The sequence below is a fragment of the Homo sapiens genome, chromosome 17 (genome assembly GCF_000001405.40).
Source record: "Homo sapiens chromosome 17, GRCh38.p14 Primary Assembly".
Classification (NCBI taxonomy): domain Eukaryota; kingdom Metazoa; phylum Chordata; class Mammalia; order Primates; family Hominidae; genus Homo; species Homo sapiens.
The window spans coordinates 9,142,394-9,155,606 of NC_000017.11; the positions used below are offsets into that span (position 1 = coordinate 9,142,394).

Consider the following 13,213-nt stretch of genomic DNA (forward strand, 5'->3'; position numbering starts at 1 on the left):
TTACACAGCAGAGGTGTGCAACCTGCTGCTGGCCATGCCTTCACCAGGAGGCTCAGGCTTAGCCAGCAGCAGGTAGCAGAGGTTCTTCTCTGTCAGCTTCCTTTTCTTTTGAGAATAGGAGGTAAGGATACACCTGTGGAGTGTGAACCTGGAGAAGGAAGATGATGGGAGGGGGGTGGAGGTTTGAAGAGGGCGGGGAAGGCTTGAAATAGGGAGGTGGGTGAAAGTGACACATCTCAAGGACTGATTTATTCATTCATGGACTTAATAGATATCACCGTGTACTATGTGCCAGGCATGTCTCTAGGCCCTGGGGTTAATCTGTGAACCAACCAACCAACCAAAAAGTCTGTCCTTATGGAGCTTACATTCTAGATGAGAGAAGCATAGTAGATGAATTAGTATATGAAGTATGCATGTGCTATAATATAACCAACAAAATCAGTATGTAAAGTATGTAGATGCTATAAGTTGATGTAATGAAATCAATATGTAAAGTCCGTGTCTGCTGTTAGATGACGTAATAAAATCAATATTTAAAGTACACATACACTCTAAAAGGTAATGTGCAGTGAAGAAAAGGGAAGCAGAGGAGGGTGTGGGTTTGGTATTTTAAGTGGCATGGTCAGGGCAGGCCTCGCTGGGAAGTGACAAATGGGCTAAGACCTGGAGGTGATGAGGGATGAAGGGCAGCCGTCTGGGGAGACTGGTGGTCATGGTTTTCTGAAAGTATCCATCTGCCCTGTGTGGCTTTGTCCAGAAGGGCTGTCTGTCTGGACGGGAGTAGAGGATGAGAAGAAGGTAGCGATAAAGGGCCACAGACTCCAGAGCCCGGGGCCTTGGCCTGGATGCTGTCGGATGGCAGCAGGGGGAGGAGTGGAGAGAAAGCAGAAGCATGGCCAGGAAGCTGGGAGGCATGAGCCTGGGAAGAGGGGGACCAGCCTGAGCCCTGGGTGGGGAAAGGGATCCCCTGGGAGCTCACGGGGGTGCATTTTGCTATCTCAGCCGTTTTATTTGCCTGCAACAGGGGAATATTGAGGCAGGCCAGGCAGCCTGCCCCTTCTCCAGCATCCTCACTTTGCTGTGCCCTTTTGGTTTTTACATTGCCTGCTCTGTCTTCTACCTCATGGTCAAACTGTGGCTCTCTCTCCTGAATTCCATGTAAATGGAGAGTAAAGACGATCTAGGGATGGGACTCTCCTGGTGACAACTGTTTTGGCTGCTCAGAGAGGTGTCTTTCTTTCTATGTTGTTCTTGACTGTGTTCTAGATGGTCTCCGTTCTGGAAAGGAGAGGTTGTCACAATGAGAATCTCTTAAAATGGTGGGTATGAGCAAAACCATGTCACGCCAATGCTGGAACAGTCTGTCTTAACTGGGAGGTCCCTTTGCGATGAGCTAGCTTTACTTCCTAAGGGACTGAGGTCTGCAGAGGCCAAGGGTCTCCCTGGGTCACCCTGTTTGTGATGTTCCCCTGACATGGAATCCTAAATACACCTTTACCTGCTTTTTTTTTTTTTTTGAGATGGAATTTCGCTCTTGTTGCCCAGGCTGGAGTGCAATGGCACAATCTCGGCCCACTGCAAGTCCACCTCCTGGGTTCAAGCGATTCTCCTGCCTCAGCCTCCTGAGTAGCTAGAATTACAGGCACGCACCACCATGTCCGGCTAATTATTGTATTTTTAGTAGAGACAGGGTTTCACCATGTTGGCCAGGCTGATCTAGAACTCCTGACCTCAGGTGATCCACCCATCTCGGCCTCCTAAAGTTCTAGGATTACAGACATGAGCCACTGCGCCCGGCCGTTACCGTCTTTTATATCGATCTCCCCATAATGAACTCATCCAGTGCACAAACCCTCCTGTAGAGCCATGTGTCCAGCATCTAGTAGGTCTCCCATAGCTGCCTGGACCTGCTGTCAGGAGTGATCATCGTAACATCAACTACTGTTCCCCTGGGTCAGCCACTGTTGACAGCTGGGCACCATTACTGTCCTCATTCCTAGATAAGGAAACTGAGGCATAGAGGTGATCAAACACACCCAAGGTCAAGTGCACAGTGCTAGCCTGAGACACACAGGATTTGAACTCCTGCATCGGCTCTTGACTCCCCTTTGTCACCTCCAAGTTGTACTGAAGTTGAGGCTTAGGCTCCCAGAGGGTGTGGGCCCTGGGCTGAGTGTTTTATGGGCCTTATCTCATCTGATAAGAGGGTGCTTGTAATTACTCTTCTTTCACTGAATAGCAAAGTGGACAAGGAGAGATCAGGTGACTGGCGCAGGCCGCATAGGTGGATGGAAGGCTGGAACAGGCCCCCTCTTAGCACCTCGCTCCCCGGCCTCCCAGCCTCAGTGGGGTTTGCTGACGAAACAAGCGAGCACATGGAGGAAATGCGGTCCAGCTTCTGCCTAATGAATCCCGCTGTTTCAGCCTGTTTGCATTTGTCAAGTTAATTTGCCTTCCAGACAGAACCACAGACCAGTGTCCCTGCCTCCTCGAGGGTGGGAGGGACCCCAGGACCCCCTGGAGAGGCACACTTGAGGAGGCAGACACACCGGTCTGTGGTCTGTACCCCACAGCTATCTCCAGCTCCAGGTCCAGGGAGGGCCAGAAGGTGGAGCGGCGGGGGCCAGTGGCGAGGACAGTGCGCCACCCCCCGAGGCTGGCCGGCTCCCCAGCTGAGGCAGGCGCATGAAATCCGAACTCTGGAGGGAAATTTACTGCACAATAAAGGAAGAATGGCCTGCTTTGGGGACAATTAAATCCACATTACTGTGGAATTACAGAGGACTCCTGGGGAATTAGCCACATCCACAGCAGCCAGGAGCACCAGGGCCAAGAAATGTGGGGCGTTCACATGTGGGTTCCCTCCAACCCTGACTTGTACTAGGAACCTGTCTTGTTCCCAAGCCCCCTAATTTTAGGGTAAGAAAAAACATTTTCAAAGACTACCTGAGGGGAACTAATGTCATAAAACAACGCCACCGGGCCCAGTGTGTATCTTAAATAGATCTATTCTGGTCACAAAACCAACTGAGTCACAGGGTGGAGGTCTGGGGAGGACTAACCCCCTACCACCCCATTTGCAGCTGGGGGAGAAGAAAGGGCCAGGCTTCTGAGCAGAGTGGGCCAGGCGTCCAGTCCCTGTCACTCCTGTGAGCTGTGTGAGTCCAGCCAGGGTCTCGACATTATTTTCTGGCTTCCTTTAATTGGATCAAAGTAAAGTTGTAAAGTATGGGGTGTTGGCCAGGCACGGTGGCTCACACCTGTAATCCCAGCACTTTGGGAGGCCGAGGTGGGTGGATCACCTGAGGCCAGGAGTTTGAGACCAGCGTGGCCAACATGGCAAAACCCTGTCTCTACTGAAAATACAAAAAATTAGCCGGGCGTGGTGGCAGGCACCTGTAGTCCCAGCTACTTGGGAGGCTGAGCCAGAAGAATCACTTGAACCCAGGAGGCAGGGGTTGCAGTGAGCTGAGATCGGCCACTGCACTCCAGCCTGGGCGACAGAGCAAGACTCCATCTCAAAAAAAAAAAAAAAAAAAAAAAGTGTGGGGTATTTAGAAGAACAGATGTGTTTGTATTCATTTTCCATCCAAGCCTCTGCGGGCTGGAAGAAGATAAGGAGACTGTTTCTGAAGTCACAAGTTGGGCAGCTTGAGCTGTCTAGGGTTTGGGAGACCCCTGCGAGGCCCTTGTGCCCTTTCAAGCACATTCCTCAGTTCTCTTCCTGCCGTACCTTCAGCAGTGGTGCAGGCATGTATGGACAGAGACAGGAGGCAAACAGCTGAGTAAGGTGCAGGGAGGGGACACTAGGATCCAGGGCTCATGAGGAGGCTTGAAGCATAATGACCCAGGGGTGCCTGGTGCACAGAGACTGCTCCACGTGAGTCATGTGTCACTGTTACGGTGGCTGAGTGGAAGTGGCAGGTGTGAACTGCCCCAGCTTTGAAGGCTGCCCTCAGCTCCCACCTCCTGCCCTGAGCTCATCTCATTGTTCTCTGCATTTTCTTTCTTAGAGCTCCCAGAGGCCCCTCACTCCTTCTGGGCACAGACTTCCTGCCCATTTTGGGGGTGAGTCCTCAAGGAGGGGACCACCTTGCTTATGCATACCTTGGTCCTCAGTCCTGAAACAAGCAGCCAATGCACTCCTACCTCCCATCGCCTTCTGCTGGTTAGCAGGGCTGGAGGGGACCTGTGGGTCTTTAGACACACCCTGGGGGTCTTTAGACACACCCTGGGGCTCCTGGCAGCCATGCCCTCTGGGTGCTGAGACAGAGTGAGGCGGGACAATGTCTCTGATTGCTAGTGAGCTAGGGATTTGGCCCGTGCTATTGGCTCTCAAAACAATTTGGAGGAGGAAAGTGAGGGGCTAACTCGCCGCAGGACTCTCCTTTCCTGGTCAGTCCCTTGTTGGATTCTTGCCTGGGAGTTTCAGAGCCAGCGAGGCACTGGGGTTGCTTACTGTCCCCATATGTGGAGGAGATGTCCAAAATACTCAGTAGCTGGTGCTTCTGGGTAATACCCCGGCATCGGTGTTGAGATGCTGGCCATAGACAGCTGCCTTGCTACCTCTCTGTGGAAGATCAGTCTGCCCTAAAGCTTTTGAACCCCCAAAGGCCTGTTCAGAGGATGTTCAGCTATGGAGCCACCATCTCTCCATGAGGAAGAGCTTGTGGCTTTCCCCAGGCTGTTTTCCCTGGCTGTACTAGATAACTCAGGACATCATTGCAGAAGGACAATTTGGATTCTTCCCGCATTTGCCCACAGGGAAGCTCTGCTGCGCAGTCCCTCCCCGTAAGGACTCAGGGTCATTTGCAGACTGGAAATCCCTTCCATTAGCTCACGTGTAAGAATATTAACAAGGCCATTTGGGAGGCCGAGGTGGGCAGATCACGAGGTCAGGAGATCGAGACCATCCTGGCTAACACGGTGAAACCCCGTCTCTACTAAAAATACAAAATAAATGAATAAATTAGCCGGGCATAGTGGCGGGCACCTGTAGTCCCAGCTACTAGGGAGGCTGAGGTAGGAGAATGGCATGAACCTGTGGGCAGAGCTTGCAGTGAGCTGAGATCGAGCCACTGCACTCCAGCCTGGGCGACAGAGAGAGACTCCGTCTCAAAAAAGAATATTAGCAAGGCCAATGCTAACCTCAAACCTGTAAGGATCTGACATCCCAGAGGCAGGAAATGTGTCTTCTAAGGCTCTCTGAGTTGGAAGGGTCTCGATCAGTCTAGTTCCACCTCCTCCCCAGAGCCGGAGTCTCCTGTACCGTATTTTTCTACTTGAAGGTCTCCAGGGATGGCAAAGTCACTGTCCCCCAGGGGTGGCCCATTCTAGCTCCTTTGGCCAGCTGGAATCTGCCATCCCCTGTCTTATCCTCTGTTTGATGGTAGGCCACCTAAAATCTTTCATTAAATCTCATAGACACTTTACTGAGCTCTAAATGAATTGTACCTAGTGGTTTGATTAAAATAACTGGATTCAGAATTGGGGTTCAGATTTTGATCATTTTCACCACAAAGCATATCATGATGAAAATGGCTTTGTTTGGGTACAGATTTGGGGCCACTCTGGCCATACTTGCCTTCCTCCCCCTTGTGTCTCCTGGAACTGGAGTGTGATTGGTTCCACATGGGGATCTTTGCATGTGAAGTGGGGGCATGCTAACTAGTGACAGGGCCTCTTGAGGGGCTGGGTAGGGGCAGAGGGGCGTGGTCTGTCTGTTTGGCATTGACGGCCCTGCAGACAGTGCCCTGCAACTGGAAAGCAGTTTTTGGGTCATCCAATGGGCAGGGTCTTTTCCCTTCTCACAAATCTCCACGTGCTCCTGGGCACAGGTATCTATTCTTGTTCAGCAGATTGAGAGAGGGAAATAAGGGAACGACAAGCTGGTGCTAAGCAAATAGGAACTGAAGAAGCAGACAACCCTTTGAGTTAAGAAAAACCCAAACAGGACTCTTCTCTCCTAGACCTGTTGAGTTGAGGGGCCCTTTTAACCTCTTCTGGGACTTGTGGAGACTGAGGAAATTAAAGTGGCTGTTGATAAAAAAAACCGTTGCGTGAAATCGTACATCTTAGGCACAGCCCAAGCTGGGTAGGGATCTGGTGTGTCCTGGAGGTAGCACTGACATGCCAGTCTTGGGGCATACTTTTACTAAAAATGATTTGTGCCATTCAAATTTAACTGGGTGTTCTGTATTTTTATTTGCTAAACCTGGCAACCCGAGTCTAGTCGGAGAGTGAATTAGGAAACTGAGAAGGCGTTTTGGTGTTGTCCTGGAGTGGCCCAATGGGACACTGGTTTCTGTTGGGCACACGGGGGTCCAGCGTGCAGATTGGGACCCTGGTTTCACCCTGTCCCTGTCCACGAGCAGGAATCTTGATCTGTTGGTCACACGGGGGTCTGGTGTGCAGTATTGAACCCTGCAGTAGTTTTGGCTGCAGTCTGGGCTGGTCTCTGGAGTTTACAACCCAAGTCAAAGTTAACTAAAGAGATGAATTAAATAAAGGTCAAGCAGGGAGGGATACAGCCCATGGGGGTAGAGGGGAACAAAGGGCTGGGGAAGGTGTCCTGGGAATTGCATGTTTTCCTGCCTGGTGTCTGGAGAACAGAATCAACTGCAAGTCATTAAGCCTCCCTTGCACCAGCCTCTCCCACTGCCCTGGAGTCCCGCCTTGAATCTCCAGCCTGGCAAGTGCCTGGCTTAGTGACGGGAGCCATTACAGATGGGAAATGACTCCAGGGAGCCAGGAGCCAGGCTTGGCCGGCTTGGCTGGCAAATCAGCCCTCATATGTCCATTTCATAAAGCACAGGGAGTGTATGCACCACCTCTAGGGAAAAGAGATTGGAAGGAACCCCCCCCACACCCCCACACACACCCTGCTGCCACCCCCCGAGCTGCTAACCAGACATCTGGGCAGGGCGGGCAAGTCACAGAGCAAAGAGAATTTCATGGCAACAAAAGCTTCCGGGAGAACTTTGCTCAGACAATCTCTTCCAGTTTGAAAATTCTCTGCCTTCAGGAATGAATTCCAGCAGCCACAGGGTTTTATCAGGCTTCTTTCTGCCTGAGACCATGTCACCCTCACCATGCTGCTGGGGGTCTGGAAAGAGCTCTGAATTAGTTTGGTGAAGTGTTAGTCACCATTCACTATTGCCAGGTCCCTGGCAACATCTCTTTGCTTCTTGGGACCTTGTTCTTCTCATCTCTTCTTCTACAAGAGGGTAAACTAGGAAACCCTGGAAGGCTGCACCAGCCCCAAGACCCTGGGTTTGTCCTTAGAACAATGTCCCCCTTCCTTCTTTTGCTGATAGATCTGGAGCTTGGAGAGGACTGGGTGGGATGGGGTGAGGTTTCATGCAGGGTCTTATTATAAGGAAGGAGCAGGGCAAGGCACTGTGGTGAGCACCTGTAATCCCAGCACTTTGGGAGGCTGAGGAGGGTGGATCACTTGAGGTAGGAGTTCGAGACCAGCCTGACCAACATGGTGAAACCCCATCTCTACTAAAAATGCAAAAATTAGCCAGGCATGGTGGCGCACACCTGCAATCCCAGCACTTTGGGAGGTCGAGGAGGGTGCATCATTTGAGGTCAGGAGTTTGAGACCACCCTGGCCAACATGGCGAAACTCCATCTCTACTAAAAATACAAAAATTAGCTCAGCATGGTGGCGGGCGCCTGTAATCCTCAGCTACTTGGGAGGCTGAGGCAGGAGAACCACTTGAACCCAGGAGGCAGAGGTTGCAGTGAGCCAAGATCACGCCACTGCCCTCCAGCCTGGGTGACAAGAGTGAAACCCCATCTCAAAAAATACATAATAAATAAATAAGGAAGGAAGGAGCAAGACCTCCAGTCTCTGGACCCCCACTGTGAAACTGTTTTTGTCCTGAAAGGCAAGAAAGTTTGCATCTCATAGACAGTGGGCAGCCATGGAAGGTTCCAGAACAGGGCAGTGACAAATGAGAGGAATGTCTGAAGAGGGATTTGGGGTGGCGGGCTGGTTGGAGGTGGAGAAGGCGTAGAGTTGTGCATGGCACATAGAGGGCCAGGGCTAAAGTCCCCGAAGGAGGTGGCAGAGAGAGCACTCACCCTCTGCCTGGGGCAGAGGCTCCGGACTGGAACGTGGACGGAGGATCTGAGGAACGCAGCAGACAAAGAACTGATGACTGCTCAGGGCTTACCAAAGCCTGCTCGGCATTTCCTCCAAGAGAGGGGCCCGCCCGCCGGGCAGGCGGAGAGAAGGATGTTTGTGCAGCAGGAACCCTGAGTGATTCTTTTGCAGCAAGGGCCTGGGACATGTTCGTTAGGAGGGGATTGTTTCAAAGCCTTAGGGGGAGGCATAGCAGCCAAAAAAGGGCAGGGAAGAGAAAAGGCTAAGATGTTTACAGAGAAAAAAAAAAAGTCAGTGGAAAAAATGACGGCGAGGTCAAGCAGATTTGGGGGATGGCCCCCGCTGTCCACTGGGGAGGGGCCGGGTGCCCGGCACAGCGGGAGAAAGAACCACAGGGCCTGGGCTGTGCTTTTTGGAGAGCCGAGCCCGTGACCCCGGTATCCTTAATCCTGCCCGTGGTCCTGATCCCAAACCCCACGAAATGCCCTCTCCGGTCTGTTTGCCGCCAGCCTCTTTGCAGGGACCACGTCCATCAGTTGGTCCCCCCTGGACATTTCTGCTTGAAGAAGGAGACAGGACTCACCAGACTTAAGACTTATCTGCCCCCCACCCCTGTCCCTTCCCCCAGAAGCCTAAGAGGGTCTGGCTGCGGGGTGGGAGGCCAACTCCTAGCAGCCCTTTTGTCTGACATCTTGACAAAGGGGCTGGGGCCTTTCCCAAGCCCCACAGGTGTGAAGAACTTGTTACTGTAGTGTTTATTCAGCCCTATTAGTGGCCTGAAGGACTGTTGACAGAAGGCCCCTTTGTGTTCAGACTTGGCTAAAGCTCCCTAAGCCCTCGACAAACACAGGCCACTTATCTCCGGGGACTTTATCAGAAACCATCTAAAGCCTGTCTTTGGCAAGCCGGGAACTCCAGCCTCCCGTCCCACTCTGACTGTGACTCCGGGCACTGAGGTTCCAAAACACTTCCCACTTTCTTTCATTTTTCCTACCACCTTGATCCACCCCTCTTCCACGGCATTTCTGGTATCAGAGATAAAGCACAGGTGGTGGTGGGGAGGGGGAAGGGAGGGTGGACAGAAATTCTGTTTTCAAATTGGACCCTAAAAACTAAATGGAGTGGCCCTGCAGGCCTGGTTCTGAAAGAGAGACTTAAGAGAGGTGTATGGGCTCCTCTCTGGGAGAACTTGGCTTCAGGGGCCTCTAAGGCTGACCACGGAGGGTCCCTGTGGAGAGGTGAAGCCAGCTGGACTTCCTGGGTCTGCTGGGGAATTGGGAAAATTGTCTGTCTTACAAGAGGATTGTAAAACACACCAATCAGCACTCTGTAGCTAGCAAGAGGATTGTAAAATGCACCAATCAGCGCTCTGTAAAACACACCAATCAGCACTCTGTAAAATGCACCAATCAGCACTCTGTAAAACGCATCAATCAGCCCGAGTCTAAAAGTAGCCAATCGCGGGGAGGATTGAAAAAAGGGCACTCTGATAGGACAGAAATGGAACATGGGCAGGGACAAATAAGGGAATAAAAGCTGGCCCCCCGCGGGCCATGAGTGGCAATCCACTCGGGTCACCTTCCACGCTGTGGAAGTTTTGTTCTTTTGCGCTTCACAATAAATCTTGCTGCCGCTCACTCTTTGGGTCCGTGCCACCTTTAAGAGCTGTAACACTCACCGCCAAGGTCCACGGCTTCATTCTTGAAGTGAGCGAGACCGGGAACCCACTGGCAGGAACCAACTCTGGACACACTATTGCTCACTGCCCTCTGCTAAATCCCCCTGCTGTGCCACCGCATGCCCAAAGGTAAACTCCTTTTTTCTCCCCCAAAATAGTTTCCTCTGCCCAGTTCCCCGGAGAGGATCCTGCACACCCATTCTCTCTGAAAGACCCAGGTGGTCATCAGTCCTGTTGGCCACGCCCCTCTGATGGTTCCCCTGGGAAGGCTCCCATACCTCCACTTTCAGCAAGGGGGAAGCCTGCAGGGTCATCCCGCCACCACCCCAGGGCCATGGCAATTCCCAGCTGTGATCCACCCGCTGCCTGGAGGTGGTCTTAGAGCCCTTTCCACAGCCCTGTCACTGGCTTCCACCCTGAGGCTTCTTCACAGCGTCATTACCTAGCCTGGAGCACCCCACTTCTGAATTCCAGGGTCCCCTCCCAAAGGCCTCCATGCTGATGTGAGTCTGCTGATCTGTCCCCTACCCTGCAGGAGTTTGGGTATCATGAGTTAGACTTTTAGGGCCAGAAAATAACTTAGAAATCATCAGACGCAGATGTCTTCATTTTTCAGATGGGAGAATGGGTTCAGAGGGGCCAAGTGGGCTTTCCAGGTCACACACCTGGGGGAGTCGCGGAGCCGGAGCTAGAGTCCAGGCTTCCCACATCAGGCCCCAGCTCTCTTTCCTCTTGCTTGCTTGTGAGGTTGTAGCCATTGTGTTTGATCTTGGTTAGTAATAGTGACACTCCAGGGGGCGGCCAGGTGCGGTGCTTCATGCCTGTAATCCAAGCACTTTGGGAGGCCTAGGAGGGTGGATCATCTGAGATCAGGAGTTCGAGACCAGCCTGGCCCACATGGTGAAACCCTGTCTTTACTAAAAATACAAAAATGAGCCAGGTGTGGTGGCACGCACCTGTAATCCCAGCTACTCGGGAGGCTGAGGCAGGAGAATTGCTTGAACCCGGGAGGCAGAGGTTGCAGTTAGGTGGGCAGATCACCTAAGGTCAGGAGTTTGAGATCATTCTGGGCAACATGGTGAAACCCCGTCTCTATTAAAAATACAAAAACATTAGCAGGGCGTGGTGGCGGGTGCCTGTAATCCCAGCTACTTGGGAGCCTGAGGCAGGAGAATCGCTTGAACCTGGGAGGCAGAGCTTGCGGTGAGCTGAGATCCTGCCACTGCACTCCAGCCTGGGCAACAGAACAAGACTCTGTCTCAAAATAAAAAGAAACTCTGGGGGTTGACTCAGCTCTGTGTGTCTTAGGAGGGAATGCTGGTGAATCTGTGCACCCAAGCTGGAGCATCATCACAGGTTGGGGCTTTGAGAGGGGTTTGTTTGGTAGCTGCTTGAATTAAAAACCACAGCTCAAGAGAAGGAAGAGGGGGCCACGGTCTGTTGAGAGAGCAGAATGCAGCAACGTCAGCCCTATGGCAGGCGTGCTTCCCACTCAGAGCTGGGCACTTCCAAGGTCTCCGTTCATGTTTGTTGAATGAAGCAACGAACGGGCAGTCAGGTAGAAGCGGGTCCTGTTTTGGTGTCCTTGTGGCATCTCGAAGTGCCACATCTTCCCTCACATGGTCTCTGGAACTCCAGAGAGTCCCATGGGACATCCTTACCTCGCCTGGCTCTCATGCCCTGCGTGGACTGACTCTACCTGTTGACTCTTTTCTTTCAGACAAGTGAGTTGTCCAGTTCTCCTGGCCATATCTAGGAGACTGTTTGTCAATGGTTTTTAAAATGGTTGAAACGAGGCATCCTCAATGAGTGCAAACCCCAGAGCCTTGAGTGGAACCAACTACTCCTGTGTGATGTCCTCACGGTCCCCGTAGGGGTCATCCAGTCTCGTGACTCCCTCTGGCTGGTCACTGCTGCATTTTATCTGGCTGGCTGATGTCTCCAGTGACGAGCCTTAAGCCTATGTTTGGGGGATAGTGGTGGACCTGGGAGTGAGACCACAGCGGCAGCAGCATTAACCAGACCTTAGCATGCCCAGGTATTTCCACCGACCCTGCCAGGGCAGGGACCATGATTGTCCTGCTCACTGTGACGTCCCCAGCACCTTGCATGGTGCCCAGAATGCACCAGGTAGGGGCTCAGTAAATACTTGTTGAATGCTTTGATAAATTCATGCCCTACCAGATTTGCTAATAGTGAAGTAAAACCTAAGTCTGGGCTTGGATTGTTTTATAAATGTATGTATATGTATGATCGTTTCTCTTATGCCCAGCTCACCTGTAGACACAAAAGGCTGTGAGTCCCAGAAATTCTTGGGCCAGTCCTGCCTCGGCCCCTTTCCCAAAAGGAGCCCTTTGAGAGGTTGGCTCAGAATGATCCCCAGGTGTGGGCGGGAGTTAGGTGTGTGGGCAGCTGGAGTTGCTCCACCCAGCCATTTCAGGAGACGCTGAAAAGGGGGCTCAGAAAAACACACTGGAGGCGGAATACCTAAAATTTATAAACAGGAGCTGAACAATTTCTAAATAAATAGCATACCAAATGGAGCAGCAAAGTAATAAAGGAAATACAGACTACCTCAAACTCTTAAAAATAACTCTCAAGTATTTTTATGATTCTGAACCAGTCATTTAAGGAGAAATTTCTCTTGAAACCAGGCATCTGCCCACTGCCCCATCACAGGCCCCTGCGGTTGAACCTCCCTTTACCTCCTTGCAAAGGCTCTCTGTCCACACAGTGGGTCATGTCCCAACTGGGTTCTTTTCCATTGAGTTCCAGTTCCATCCCTCCCCATCAGAGCCTGCATTTGCACAGGATCCCCAGGTGACCATATGCACGTTACAGTTGGGGCAGCGCTGGCAGAATATCCCGTCTGTGCTCCGACTCTCTTCTCAGGCCCTGTCCTCTCCCCGTTGTTCCAGAGAGGTCCAGAAGAACGGCCTCCTTGAGTGTTAGTCTTGACAGCTCTGGTCACCGTTGAAAACAGTGCAATTACTAGACCACTGTCCATCTTCCCCTGAGCCAGGAAGGACCCTGGGACAGGACTCCATCTTGCCTGCCGCTGTCACACCAGCACCTGGCCCTTTTAAAGGCGTCAGTTAAAGCTTTGTTGAAGGAGTTAATGACAGTCACCTCCTGGAGCAGCTTTCTTTTTCTTTTTTGTTTTTTTTTTTTTGAGACGAGTTTTGCTCTTGTCGCCCAGGCTGGAGTGCAATGGCGTGATCTCAGCTCACCGCAACCTTTGCCTCCCGGGTTCAAGCGATTCTCCTGCCTCATCCTCCCGAGTAGCTGGGATTACAGGCATGTGCCACCATGCCCACTAATTTTGTATTTTTTAGTAGAGACGGGGTTTCTCCATGTTGGTCAGGCTGGTTTCAAACTCCTGACTTCAGGTGATCCGCCCGTCTCGGCCTCCCAAAGTG

At 51.9% G+C, this 13,213-nt stretch overlaps 1 protein-coding gene across 3 annotated transcripts in view, besides 1 other annotated feature; it reads left to right on the top strand.

The window, feature by feature from the left end:
• Positions 1 to 13,213, top strand: part of NTN1 (netrin 1) — a 240,914-nt gene that overhangs the window by 139,307 nt on the left and 88,394 nt on the right. The gene's annotated exons all lie outside the window — the stretch shown is intronic.
• Positions 8,333 to 9,176: an enhancer, noted in NCBI's record as "NANOG-H3K27ac-H3K4me1 hESC enhancer chr17:9054043-9054886 (GRCh37/hg19 assembly coordinates)". NCBI's record gives its function as "activates a minimal SCP1, AML or CMV promoter by ChIP-STARR-seq in naive and primed H9 embryonic stem cells {active_cell/tissue: H9 hESC(naive and primed)}" and the evidence as "EXISTENCE:reporter gene assay evidence [ECO:0000049][PMID:30033119]".